Raw genomic sequence first — 13,225 nt, 5'->3', positions numbered from 1 at the left:
TATCTAAAAGAAGGAAGAAGAAAGCAGATGTATCAACAAACATGGAGAATGAAAGAGACAATGGCTTAAATTTTTCTAAAGAAGTAAATTAGAAAACCTCAGCAAAATTGCAAAGCAAGATTGACAAATTTGTGGTTGAAGAATTTAAAATGTGAAGAATTTAAAGTGTGAATTCAAAAACCATCGAAGAAATTGAAAAAAGTATCAAAGAATAATTACATTCTCTCTTTTAAATTTCTTGCATAGATTGAGGCGAAAAACTTTCCAGAATAAAACAAATTTAACTTTCAATGATTTTTTTTTTGCATAGAAAAATAAAGTTAACAAAACTCAGCTATAAAGAAGCTATTGTGTTCTTTATAATGAAATATTAATAGAAAACTACACATGACCTCAAACAATGTTTATTACATAGCTGTATGCTAAGTAGGTACTTTTTCAAAGCAATCAACTAGCATAACCAATTTGTGCTGATATATCTTGATAAGCAAAGCGATTCAGTGTTCTTAAAATAAAATATGTCATACTTATTTAATGAAATCCACATAGTGGAGGGCACAAACAGAGATTATACTCCAGCCGGCTTGTTATCTGCCATTTTTCAAAGCATTTTTTAAACCTGCTCTAATAAAAATGTGTACTACAAAGAACAAAGGAGGGAAATGTAAATTTCGTACGAGGTTACGATATATATTAAATAATAGCAAATGCAAGTCAATTCCAAGTGTATTTCCCTGTGTCTCTAACTTGAAACAAGGCTGACTGCTTTGTAGGAATGAATATAAAATGGATTTTTTTTCTTTTTCTCAATCTTACCCTCCTAAAAAAGTAATTTTGTGAATTAGTTAGTCATTGCAGGTTTTATACCACCCTTTCACCAGCATTACTTTGAATAATAAAGCAGATTTGGGGCAAACCTCTTCTGCATGAAGTCGTTAGTCCTCAATCCAAAACGGTTTGAAATGGCATGCAATTACTCAAAATATTAAACTTAGAATTTCTACATGATCCTCAGTAATTTCACTCAGGGGTATAACCCAAAAGAATTGAAAGTAGGGACTTAAACAGAAAATTGTATACCCATATTTATAGCAGTATTATTCACTATAGCCAAAAGGTGGAAGCAGCACCATTATCTATCAATAAATTAATGTATAAACAAAATGTAGTATATATATACATAAAATGGAACATTATTTAGCCTTAAAAAATTGTCAATTTTTTGTCAAAAAACCTGTCATAAGGTAAGCAGTGAAATAAGCCAGGCCTCTCCCCAACACACATAAAAATGTATAATTCCTTTTTTAAGAGATTCCCAAAGTAGTCAAACTAGTAGAGACAGAAAGTAGAATTGTTGTTGCCAGGGACTGCATGGAGAGGAGAATGGGAATGATTGTTTAATGAGTACAGAGATTCAGTTAGGGAAGATGAAAAAATTTTGGAGATGGATGATGGTGATGATTTCACATCAGTATGAACGTACTTAATGCCACAGAAGTGTACACTTAAAAATGGATAAAATGGTACATTTTAAACTTAAACATACATGTCTATATATCTATATAGATAAATAAAGATACCAACAGATATATATAGTGCCAAATGGCCATCACATATGGGTAAATGCTCATTAATAATCATTAGAGAAATGCAATTTCAAACCACAGTGAGATACCATCTCTCACCTGTCAGAATGTCTTCTAAAATGTTTACTATTATATTTTTATCTCATACTTCATTTCAAAAAGGAACGTTTTATATCAAAAAAAGACAAGTGTTGGCAAGGATATAGAGAAAAGGGAACACTTGTATACTATTGGTGGAAATAGTATACAAATGTGCACAAACAAATAAGTTTGTGCAGTCATTATGGAAAACAGTATAGAGATTTCCCAACAAACTAAAAATAGAATTATCATATAATCCAGAAATTCCACTAATGAGTATTAATGCAAAAGACTTGAAGTGAGTTTGCTGAAGGGATAGCTGCAATCCTATGTTTATTGCAGCACTATTTACAATAGCCTCAACCTCAGTTGAATAGAACTATTTACAATATTTAATTTTTAATATTTACCCTATTTATAATAGTATCAATCTCAGTGCCCATTAACAGATGAATGGATAAAAAAATGTAGTGCATATACACAATGGAGTACTCTGCAGCCTTTAAAAAGAAGGAAATTTTGACATTTGTGACAACATAGATGGAATTGGAGACATTACGCTGGGACATAAGTCAGGCTCAGAAAGACAAAATACCGCATGTTCTCACTTATGTATGGAACATGAAACAATAACTTATACAAGCAGAGAGTAGAATGTTGGTGACAGAAGCTGGGGGATGGGAGAAATGGGGATGTGATGGTCAAAGGGTATAACATTTCAAACAGGAAGAATATGTTTTTTCTTTTTATGAGTTCTATAGCACAGCATGGTGAATAGAGTTAATAGAGTATTGCACATTTCAAAATTGCTAAGTACATTTCAGATGTTCTCACCACAAAAAATGTTAAGTATTTCAGGTGATGGCTATGGTTAACTAGCTTGATTTAATTATTTCACATTGCATTCATAGATTATAATATCATTTTTTAATCCATAATTTTTTTTAGCCAGAGTACTCCTTCTTCACAGAACCCATAAATCTATACAATTACAAATTGTCCATTTACAATAAAAAACACAGACGACAAAAGAATAAAACAATGTTTGGTGTACTTATAGAAGCTACCTGGTAGAAAAGATAAACAAAGAGGAAAATATATTAAAGTTATTAAACAGATTTGGATTTCAAATTATCCCCAGGTAATTGTTTCCCATTTGGCAAGTGTTACAGATCATTACATCAGTTTTTCTAGTTCATACCTGCACACACACAACAGTGCAGTAAATATCCCTGTTAAATATATTCTAAATATATTCCACAAGTTAAATTTAAATATAAATTGCCCTGGTATCTTACGATTGAGTGCTGGAAGGTTGACAAAGTGTTTGGTGGCATATCATATACAGCTCTAAAAGTTCCAACATTTAAACAAGTTAGACAGAAGGGATGTTATTGAGCTCTGATAAACTAAGTTCGATGACATAAAAGGTGCCTCTGGCATTGACTGCTAGGTTGATTTTGAAGATACATGTGAAGGGCTTAAATACATATTTATAAAAATACAAGAGAAGAAAGAAGTCATGTTTCTATATATATGCTATTTTAAAATGATATTATATTTAATTTAAATATTCAAATATTTTAAATAATTATATATGCTATTTAAAAATGTGTACATGAAGTAATTAAGCTGATATTTAATTTCAATATTTAAATACATTAAAATAATTTATATATGCTATTTTTAAAATATGTGCATGAAGTAATATAAGTAGATATTTGATGAGTCATGTACATATCTCAAATTTATTATAATATAGGATGCTGAATGGCTTGTAAATCTCAAAGAAAAATGGGATATTGCATTTAATTTGGGGTTTGCCTTATATTAGAGCAAATACACATATATGTTTGTGTAGTAGGTTCATCATTATGCATATTGTCAAACATCTATATTTTCTATATCTACATATTTGACAAGGCCTACGTTACATAATACCATTTTTATTTACTTACATTCTCCATGCTTCTGTTTCCTCATGTGGAAAAATTGAAGTAATAAGCATAAAAATATGAAGATTAGAGTGGTGGTTTCTCGCTCCTGGTAAATGCATTATGCAAATGTTTGTTGCATTTTGTATTTTCCATTCTAAACTATCTCTGAAAAAAGCCTCAATTTGGGGACTTAATATTCTAACTTCAATTACTCTTTTTTTTTTCTGAGACGGAGTCTCGCTCTGTCGCCCAGGCTGGAGTGCAGTGGCGCCATCTCGGCTCACTGCAGGCTCCGCCTCCCGGGTTCACGCTCCTGCCTCAGCCTCCCGAGTAGCTGGAACTACAGGCGCCCGCCACCACGCCCAGCTAATTTTTGTATTTTCAGTAGAGACAGGATTTCATTGTGTTAGCCGGGATGGTCTCGATCTCCTGACCTCGTGATCCACCCGCCTCGGCCTCCCAAAGTGCTGGGATTACAGGCGTGAGCCACCACACCCCGCCACTTCAAATACTCTTTAACTTTACACTTAAGCAAAGAAATATTACATATTTCAGTCCTGAAAATATTATGATAAATCAAATAGACCCTATGACATAGGATATATTAAATATTTAAGTTTTGGAAATGTCCTTTATATACAAAATATTTCCATTGTTAACAAGTGCTTTTCAAAAAATATTTTTATTATACCTTAGAAAGAGCCAATTTAGGGTCTACACTATCTTTGTTCATCTCGTTTTCTTTTTTGCACATATTCCTTTACTAATGTAGATTAGCACTACAAGATAAAAAGTATCCAGCATCATAACATTGTAATTAATTCCCCCATATCAAATTATATGAAAAATCCCACCTCAGACACTCTGCCAAAGGGTATGGAACATTTAATCAAGATGAAGTGCTTCAATTGAAGCAGTATATGCTCACCTCTATCAGTAATTTTGTCTCACTTTATTTCAAAGTATTATTATTTTTCGTCCCAAGATTTTAGTAACACGTTGTGTTAAATTCTTGTCATATTTAAAATTAAACCCTCTTATTCGTATTATATTTAAAAGCAAATTTTCATTGTTTCAATGAAATCGTTCAGTATACTCGGCAAAGTTTATAGTAAAGTTCTGAACAATAAATACATTCTGAAATGTCCTGTGCTTTCAAAAGTACATATTAGAGCTGATGGCTTAAGCACCATTATTTAGTGGCATTTCTAATTATTACTTTCCTTTATGTGGTTTTTTTTAAGAGGCACCAAAGTTCCTTTTGTCACATGGCTCGTGTTGCCTTCAGTAACAGCCACTTGAATTTGCCCTTAGTTGCAAACTCAGATCATGACACAAAATATACTCATAAAAGAACTTTATTCTGGACATTCTTCCAGGTGGGAAAACTTTCTTGTTACAGGAATTACACATTTCCTTGGAATTATGACATGCTGCATATAACAAGAAAAGAAAAAAGATATACACTGTCTTAAACAGAATAGAAATTTGTTTTTCTCTCACAGGCTGGGTATTATGAAATAGAGGCTTTCACAATGCTTTCAATCTCAAGGTTATCTCATGTTCCAAACAGTTGCTGACACTCCAGATTGTAACTGTTTTGCAGGTAAGGTAAAAAAAAAAAAGTAAAGGGAAAGCAGCAAAATACATCAAACTGCAGAGTTATCCTCTTTTAAATGTTTTCTTTGAAATCCCGCATAACATTTCCACTGACATTTTAATATCGACAGCTTAATCAGGTAGTCACATATAGTTGCAGAAAACTGGAATTATGGTGTTTTAGTTGGGATATTTTTTCCCCTGACCCTTGAGATAAACTTCATTTTCCAGAATGCTTTCTTTTTGACTTAAGGTAAAGTTCATAAAGAATAAAATTAAACTTTTAATAGTGTACAATTCAGTGGCATTTAGCACGTTCATAATGTTATACAATGCTTACTTCTATGTAATTCTAGAATATTTTCATCATCATACCTATTAAGAAGTTTCCTTCTATTCCTCCCTGTCCCCAGTCCCCGTAAACCCCTAATCTGCTTTGTGTCTCCATAGATTTACCTATCCTAAATATTTCATATAAATGGAATCATACAATGCATCATCTATTATTTATGTTATTTCTTTCACTTAGCATAATACTTCAGAGGTTTTTCCATGTATCAGTAGTTCACTCCTGTTTCATGGGTGAATAATATTACATTGTATGGATACACAATATTTTGCTTATCCATTCATTTCTTGACAAATATTTGAGTTGCTTTCCTTTTTTGGCTACTGTGAATATATTGCTGCTATTAGCATTTATGTACAAGGACTTGTTTGAACATACACTTTCAATTCTTTGAGGTATATGCCCAGGAATGGAATCGCTAGATGATATTGTAATTCCATGTTGTGCTGGTTTATTTTTCTCTGATAAAATTGAACTCCTATTATTATAAACGAAGAAAATAGCTGATATTGTGTGATCACCAGCAGTGTCGGCCACAGGAGATGGGCCCATTTTGTTCCTATAGGGGCACTTGCTGTGTGTCCTTATTTAATCTCCCTGTACAGATGGACGAAATCATATCCTTACATCCCTTACTTTTGCACTCAGAACTCTGCTGCATTTTGCCTTCTGGCCTAGTTATATATAACACACTAGTTTGGACCCCAGACAACCACAGTGTTCCACAAAACTGCTGAAGCATGAGCCACCACATGGCTGTAACTGTTTAGCCACAAAAAACGTGGCAATGGCCGGACACAATCAGCCTAGGCTAAATGTTGAACTTCGGTTGATTCGTAAGCTAAATAGGTGACCTTTTGATGTAAGAGAAAAATCTTTAAAACTAGATGGGCGATTAATTTTTTAAAGATTTAGTTCTCAAAAGTACAGTCTTGTTTATAGAGTTGTCTTAAGCTATTATACTTACATTCACGTATAAGAACAGGTCACATTATTGCTAATGGTTACAAGTATATACAAATAGGCAAGTATTTTTCTTATTTTCAAGATGGCCAGTGAGCAAATTCGTTTTAATTAATTTAAAATGTGGTATCAAAAAATAGCAATTACACATTATCAGAGAAAGCTACTTCTCACCTCTCTGTCGTACGTTTTAAAAGTTTGCGCTTTGGAGTCAGCCTCCTTTGGACTCAATATTGGTTCTTCTGCATAAAATTTAAATTCCTCCTTATATTTTATAATTCCTTAATATTAATTTTTAAATAGTTTCTGAATCCTCTGAAACCATAGGCAAAGTATGTGTTTATGAACATACGCATTTTTTCCACTGAGAAGATGAAAGAAGTGGTTATACACACCCTCCCTGCAAACCCTGTTCAACCACTGGTTTGCAAATTGTGAGATATTACATAGTTTTTTTGCCTTTTTCAATTCTTGGAAATGGTGGTAAAATAAGAAAATCCCCAAGGTTCAGAAAAAAAAGAAAAAATAGACTGGGCTGTTCTGAAACAACAGAACAGTATTATTGGCTAAAGATATAAGATAAATATTAGTCTTTTTTCCTTCCTTTTTCTCTTTAAATTTAGTTAATAATCTGCTGCAAAGTTTAAGATCAAGATAATTTCTCTTCAACTTGAAAGCTTTAACTATCATTCCAGTTACCACAGAGTATATTTCTATCGCTCCAGAAAACAGAGGAACTTCTGAAGGACTAAAGTATGGCCAATGGGGAAGAAGACAATAAGAAAATCAATCTTAGTGCTTAATTTAATGTGTTGCTTTAAGGGAGCATTTCAGCATTCCCCGTGTTCAAGAAGCTATATATTCATTCTGACAAAAAAAAGTTTTTAAAAAGATGAAACTGATAAACCAAGAAAAACATAATTCTTTGTTCCGGGACTACTTTACCTATTTAAGAAGTTGAGTGAGGTAGAGTCTTCTCTCTCACACACACTTCATTGAAATAAAATCAGGTTTTAAGTACGTTTCCTTTATTCGTTAGCTATTTGATCTTTGACAAGCTATTGTATCTAGCAGCATGTCTATTATCTCTCACCCAACCTGGAATTAAATTATCTCACTTTTATGATTGTTAGGAGGATGAGATATAGTATATTTGAGTAGTTTTACTATTCAGCTATTAAGCTTTTTCAAGGCAAACTGTTTCAAACTGGTTCTTTGTTATTATTTGTTGTATATTCTCAATTAGTTACTGATTACTCTTAATACGAGTTACAATTTAAAGTATAAAATACAGATATATAGTGCATTTTTTAACTTAAAAAGAGGTAATAAAACTGACTCTCAGCTCATGTCTTTCTGTGTCCAAAAAGACAAGGTGAAAAAAGTGCCCATTATCATCATCTAGATGCTTGCCTCCATATTTTTTATACACTCACCAAAGGTTGAGCATGACTTAAAATGGTCCAAAAGATAAATCATAAAAGCCAATATTGTGCTTTTTAAAGTAACAAGTATATAGAAAAAAAATAGATGACCTTTCATATGAGACTTTATTTTGGCATAGGACATTAACAAACTTGGCCATGAACTTTTTAGCGGTCAGTCGGTAAAAGAAAAATTAACAATATTTGTTCACAGTGCCCATTAAAATAAATCTACAAAAGAAAATCACCTGGACAAATTCTTCAGTTCTCAGTCGTTTCTTATGTACACTCTCTTTTCTAGCTTAACCCACCGGTCATAGTAGAGGGGAGGATTATGTGGAATGGCTCCACATACAACAGTCCCAGATTAGAAGGTTATGGTCCACAGTTGAGAAAATGAAAAATAAGGAAGGATTAGGAGACAGGCTGGGAAGTTTGATGGAACAGAATAAGTGAGTCATTTTTGACCAGGACCAACATCTAGCATTTATCTGAAGGCTGAGTTTTGTTTTATTGCTTTAAATAAGAAAATTATTTTCCCTGATGTGGAGCATGAAAATTGAAAATGCTGTATTGGCGGTAAAGGAAGCAACATGAGTGATCTTAGCCAATTTGATGAATACCACTGTTTCAATTAAGGTTGAAATAAAGGTGATTATGTTTCTGAGTGTGTGAATGTTGAGTGCTTAAATTTAGTGTGGTCCTATGCTAGCTAGTGTGTTGAATGCAGTAATGAACAAAAAATAGAAAAAAAAATAAGAAAACAAATATGTTTATTTCTATATATATGAAAAAAAGGGAAGAAAATTTTGAGCAATTTCAGTAATTGGATCAGAAAAAATAAATACTGTCACTTAGCAGGCAAACATTAAGCAAAGACATGGAAGAAATGAGGGACATGATACACATTGGGATAAGATACCCCTGCTTACCCTGTGGATGGAGGAGTATAGGGGAAATGCAAAGAGCAAGGATAATTTTACAGAGGCTATCACAGTAATCCTGATTGGAGAGGATGTAGATTTAACTCAAGTAGTATTAGGTTGGCACAAATGTAATTGTGATTTTTGTGTTGTTGGCATTTGCTGTTTGATATTGGAATATATTCTTAAAGAAATGTGATTATGTTATACATCATTTTAATGGGCATTTCTCACTTTATGTTCATTTGGTAATGACTTATTACTTGCTGTTTATTTTATGTTTATTTTAGACTATGGAAATGATGTTAGACAAAAAGCAAACTTGAGCGATTTTCTCATTCGAGTTCAAAATGGGTCATAAAGCAGTGGAGACAATTCGCAATATGAACAACACATTTGGCCCAGGGACTGTTAATGAAGGTACAGTGCGGGGGCGGTTCGAGAAGTTTTGCAAAAGAGATGAGACCCTTGAAGACGAGGAGCATAATGGTTGGTCACAGGAAGTTGACAACAACCGAGAGCAATCATTGAAGCTGATCCTCTCACAACACCACAAGAAGTTGCAGAACTCATTGTTGACCATTCCACAGTCATTCGGCCTTTGAAGCAAATTGGGAAGGTGAGAACTCTAGATAAGTGGGATGCCCCATGAGCTGAGCCAAAATAAAATAAAAAAGTCATTTTGAAGTGTCATCTTCTCTTATTCTATGCAACAACAATGAAACACTTTTCTATTGGATTGTGATGTGCGACGAAATGTAGATTTTATAGGACAACCAGTGATGACCAGCTGAATAACTGGATCCAGAAGAAGCTCCAAAGCACTTCCCAAAGCCAAACTTGCACCAAATAAAAGGTCATCGTCATTGTTGGGTGCTCTGCTGCCAGCCTAATTTACTACAGCTTTCTGAATCCTAATGAAACTATTACATCTGAGACGTATGCTCAGCAAATCGATGAGATGTCCTGAAAACTGCAATGCCTGCAGCCGACACTGGTCCACAGAAAAAGCCCAATTATTCCCCACAACTACACGTGACCGCATGTAGCACAACCAATGCATCAAAAGTCGAACAAATTGGGCTACAAATTTTTGCCTCGTCCACTTTATTCACCTGACCTCTCACCAACTGACCTCCCAACTCTCTGCCACTTCTTCAAGCATCTCGCCAACTTTTTGCAAGGAAAAAGCTTCCACAACTAGTAGGAGGCAGAAAATGCTTTCCAAGAGTTCATCGAATCCTGAAGCACGTATTTTTTTTTTTATGCCATGGAAATAAACAAACTTATTTTCTTTCTTTGGCAAAAATGTGTTGATTGTAATGGTTCCTATTTTGATTAATAAAGATGTATTTGTGCCTAGTTATAATGATTTAAAATTCACAGTTCAAAACTGCAATTATGTTTGCACCAACCAAATAAGGAGATTATGAGATGCTAACAAGTTACAAATATCTTTGTGAAAGTAGACCTTAAAGTGTTGATGGAAAGTTTGATTTAGGTGTAAAAAAAAAAAAAAAGGCATAAAGAATGACTTCAAGGTTTTGCTATGAGAAAAATGGGAGAATAGATTTTTATTTTTTTTTCTGTCTTTTTTTTTTTTGAGATGGAGTCTCACTCTGTCACCAAGGCTGAAGTGCAGTGGTCAGTGGTGTGATCTTGGCTCACTGCAACCTCCGCCTCCCCAATTCAAGAGATTCTCCTCCCTCAGCCTCCTAAGTAGCTGGGCTTAAAGGTGCGCACCACCACACCTGGCTAATTTTTCTGTATTTTTAGTAGAGATGGGATTTTGCCATGTCGACCAGGCTGGTCTGGAACTCCTGACTTCAGGTGATCTGTCCACCTCAGCCTCCCAAAGTGCTGGGATTACAGGCATGAGACATGGAGCCTGGCCTACATTTTTCAATTACTGGAATGGAAACCTCTGGGGAGTTACATGTTTAGAGGAGAACATCAGGAACTCATTTTAGAATATTTAGTTTGACATGACAGTTATCTATCTCATTAGAAAAGTTGAACAGATAGGTAATACAAGAGATTAGAATCAGAGGAGAAGTCCTGGTTTAATATTTAGGTAGGGTACCATTGGAATAAAACAAGGATTTTAAGCTGGGAGGATAGATTAGAATAACAACGGAGTAAGTCTGGGTAACACAGAGAAGAGGCCCAAGGAAGGAGTCCTGGGGTATCCCCATGCTTAGAGGTAAATAATATAAAGATTTTATAGCAAAAGAGCCTGAAGAAGAGCATCCCCTGGAGAAACAGCAGATGAGTGTGGTGTCCTGGAAACCAAGTGAAGGCAGCACTACTATTAAGGAAGTAACCGCCACTGGATTTATCAGCATGTTCTTGATAAGGACAGTTTCAGTGGAGTGGTTTGGGAAAGCATGTCCATTGGTACAACCACTTTCAAGAAGCATGTGGCACTGTCTACTCATACTAAACAAATGCAACACTTATGTCCAAGCAGTGCACTCCCATGTCAATACCTGGTCCAATTAGCTTGTTTAAATTATTACAAAGCCTCTCAAAATCTACACATTTGGTTATACATTGCTGTTTTTTGTTGTTGTTGTTATTTTGTTTGTTTTTGAGATGGAGTGTCACTCTGTCACCCAGGCCGGAGTGCAGTGGCAAGATCTCAGCTCACTGTAACCTCTGCCTCCCGGGTTCAAGTGATTCTTGTGCTTCAGCCTCCCGAGTAGCTGGGACTACAGGGATGCACCACCACACCTGGCTAATTTTTTGTATTTTTAGTAAAGACGGGGTTTCACTGTGTTAGCTAGTATGATCTTGATCTCCTGACCTTGTGATCCGCCAGCCTCGGCCTCCCAAAGTGCTGGGATTACAGGCGTGAGCCACTGCGCCAGGCCACATTGCTGTTTTTAATAAAGACAGAGGATACAATACAATAGGATTTAGAAAACACACGCAAACATTAAAGAGATCCACAAAATCTAAGCAAAATCCTCTCATGTGTGATGGATTTCATCTTTTAAGTGTAAACCACTAAGATATGTGCAAAATGTGTCTATGTCTGTAAAGGCCCATGTCCTAGTCCATTATGTGCTGCTATAGTAAAATATTTGAGACTGGGTAATTTTAAAAGCACAGAAATTTATTTTCTCACAGTTATGGAGACTTGGAAGTCCAAGATCAAGGCACCAGCATTTGTTCTTGCGAGGGCCTTCTTGCTGTGTCCACACATAGGAGAAAATGGAAAGGCAAGTGAGAAAATGCTGGATGAAGCTTCTTTGTTTTATTTTTTTATTTTACTTTAAGTTCTGGGATACCTATGGAGAACATGCAGGTTGGTTACATAGGTATATGTGTGCCGTGGTGGTTTGCTGCAGCTATTGACCCCTCTCTAAGTTCCCTCCCCTACCCCCCACCCCCTAACAGGCCCTGGTGTGTGTTGTTCCCCTCCAAGTGTCCATGTGTTCTCATTGTTCAGCCCCCACTTATCAGTGAGAACATGTGGTGTTTGGTTTTCTGTTCCTTTGATAGTTTGCTGAGACTTTAATCCCATTCAGAAGGGAGAATTCTTCACAGCCTAATCACCTCTTAAAGGACCCACCTCTAACATTATCACATTGAGAACACCTGAATTTCTGAGGGAACACATTCAAACCACAGCAACCCCATCTGGTCATGTAGCTAAAACCAGGCTATATGACCAGATTCAAAACCCAAGCCACAGCACTACAACAGAAGCCACCGTTTCTCATTTTCTTGATATAGCATTCCTCCTAGGTTACAAATATGTGCCAACATATCTTTTTCCACAGTATTTCTCTCCTCATTTTAGGAATATTTCACATGCCCAAGGACTTCTACACTTGTGCCAATTTCACCCAGAGTGCTTTTAAATCATTTGGTCCAGAGATGAGTTGTTAATTAAACATGTTGTGGCCATTGAGTATTTATTGCTTAGTTACAATTTAGATAGATATTTTGACCCAAAAATGTTAAGGACTCTGTCTCATTTCACTGTTTTAGGGGGTTTACTACAAACGTACTCAGCGTATATTATGTTTTTAACATTTTATTTGCCAGATTTTCTTTATCATTATTATAGGTTTCCATCCACAAAAAAAAAGGTCTATAAGCATTAGAATATATGTTCTTAAAACAAATCAGGCAAACAGAAGAAATTTTATATACATTTCTCAAGTTCTAACTGAGGTCCGAGGGGAGTCAGTGGGCAAGTGGCAGATAGCTGGAAAAACACTCGAGTAAACGTAGACAGTTTCAGCATGGCTTTACTCTCTCTCTAGGCACGAGCAAGCCATATGTACAGCGTTATCAGGGTAATTATTACCTTTTGCAGGAAATAGTGGCTCTGAGTCAAGCATGAGCTCAC

At 35.2% G+C, this 13,225-nt stretch overlaps 2 long non-coding RNA genes across 2 annotated transcripts in view; one reads left to right on the top strand and one right to left on the bottom strand.

Moving 5' to 3' along the window:
- DSEL-AS1 (DSEL antisense RNA 1) overlaps positions 1-13,225 on the bottom strand; it is a 383,074-nt gene that overhangs the window by 80,891 nt on the left and 288,958 nt on the right. The gene's annotated exons all lie outside the window — the stretch shown is intronic.
- Positions 3,907-10,222, top strand: LINC01903 (long intergenic non-protein coding RNA 1903). Its single transcript, NR_146471.1, has 2 exons — positions 3,907-4,983; positions 9,153-10,222. It is a non-coding gene; the product is annotated as a long intergenic non-protein coding RNA 1903 (long non-coding RNA).

This window comes from Homo sapiens, chromosome 18 (genome assembly GCF_000001405.40).
Source record: "Homo sapiens chromosome 18, GRCh38.p14 Primary Assembly".
Classification (NCBI taxonomy): domain Eukaryota; kingdom Metazoa; phylum Chordata; class Mammalia; order Primates; family Hominidae; genus Homo; species Homo sapiens.
The sequence above is the reverse complement of the archived record's forward strand: the minus strand, read 5'-3'. Positions and strand labels throughout refer to the sequence as shown.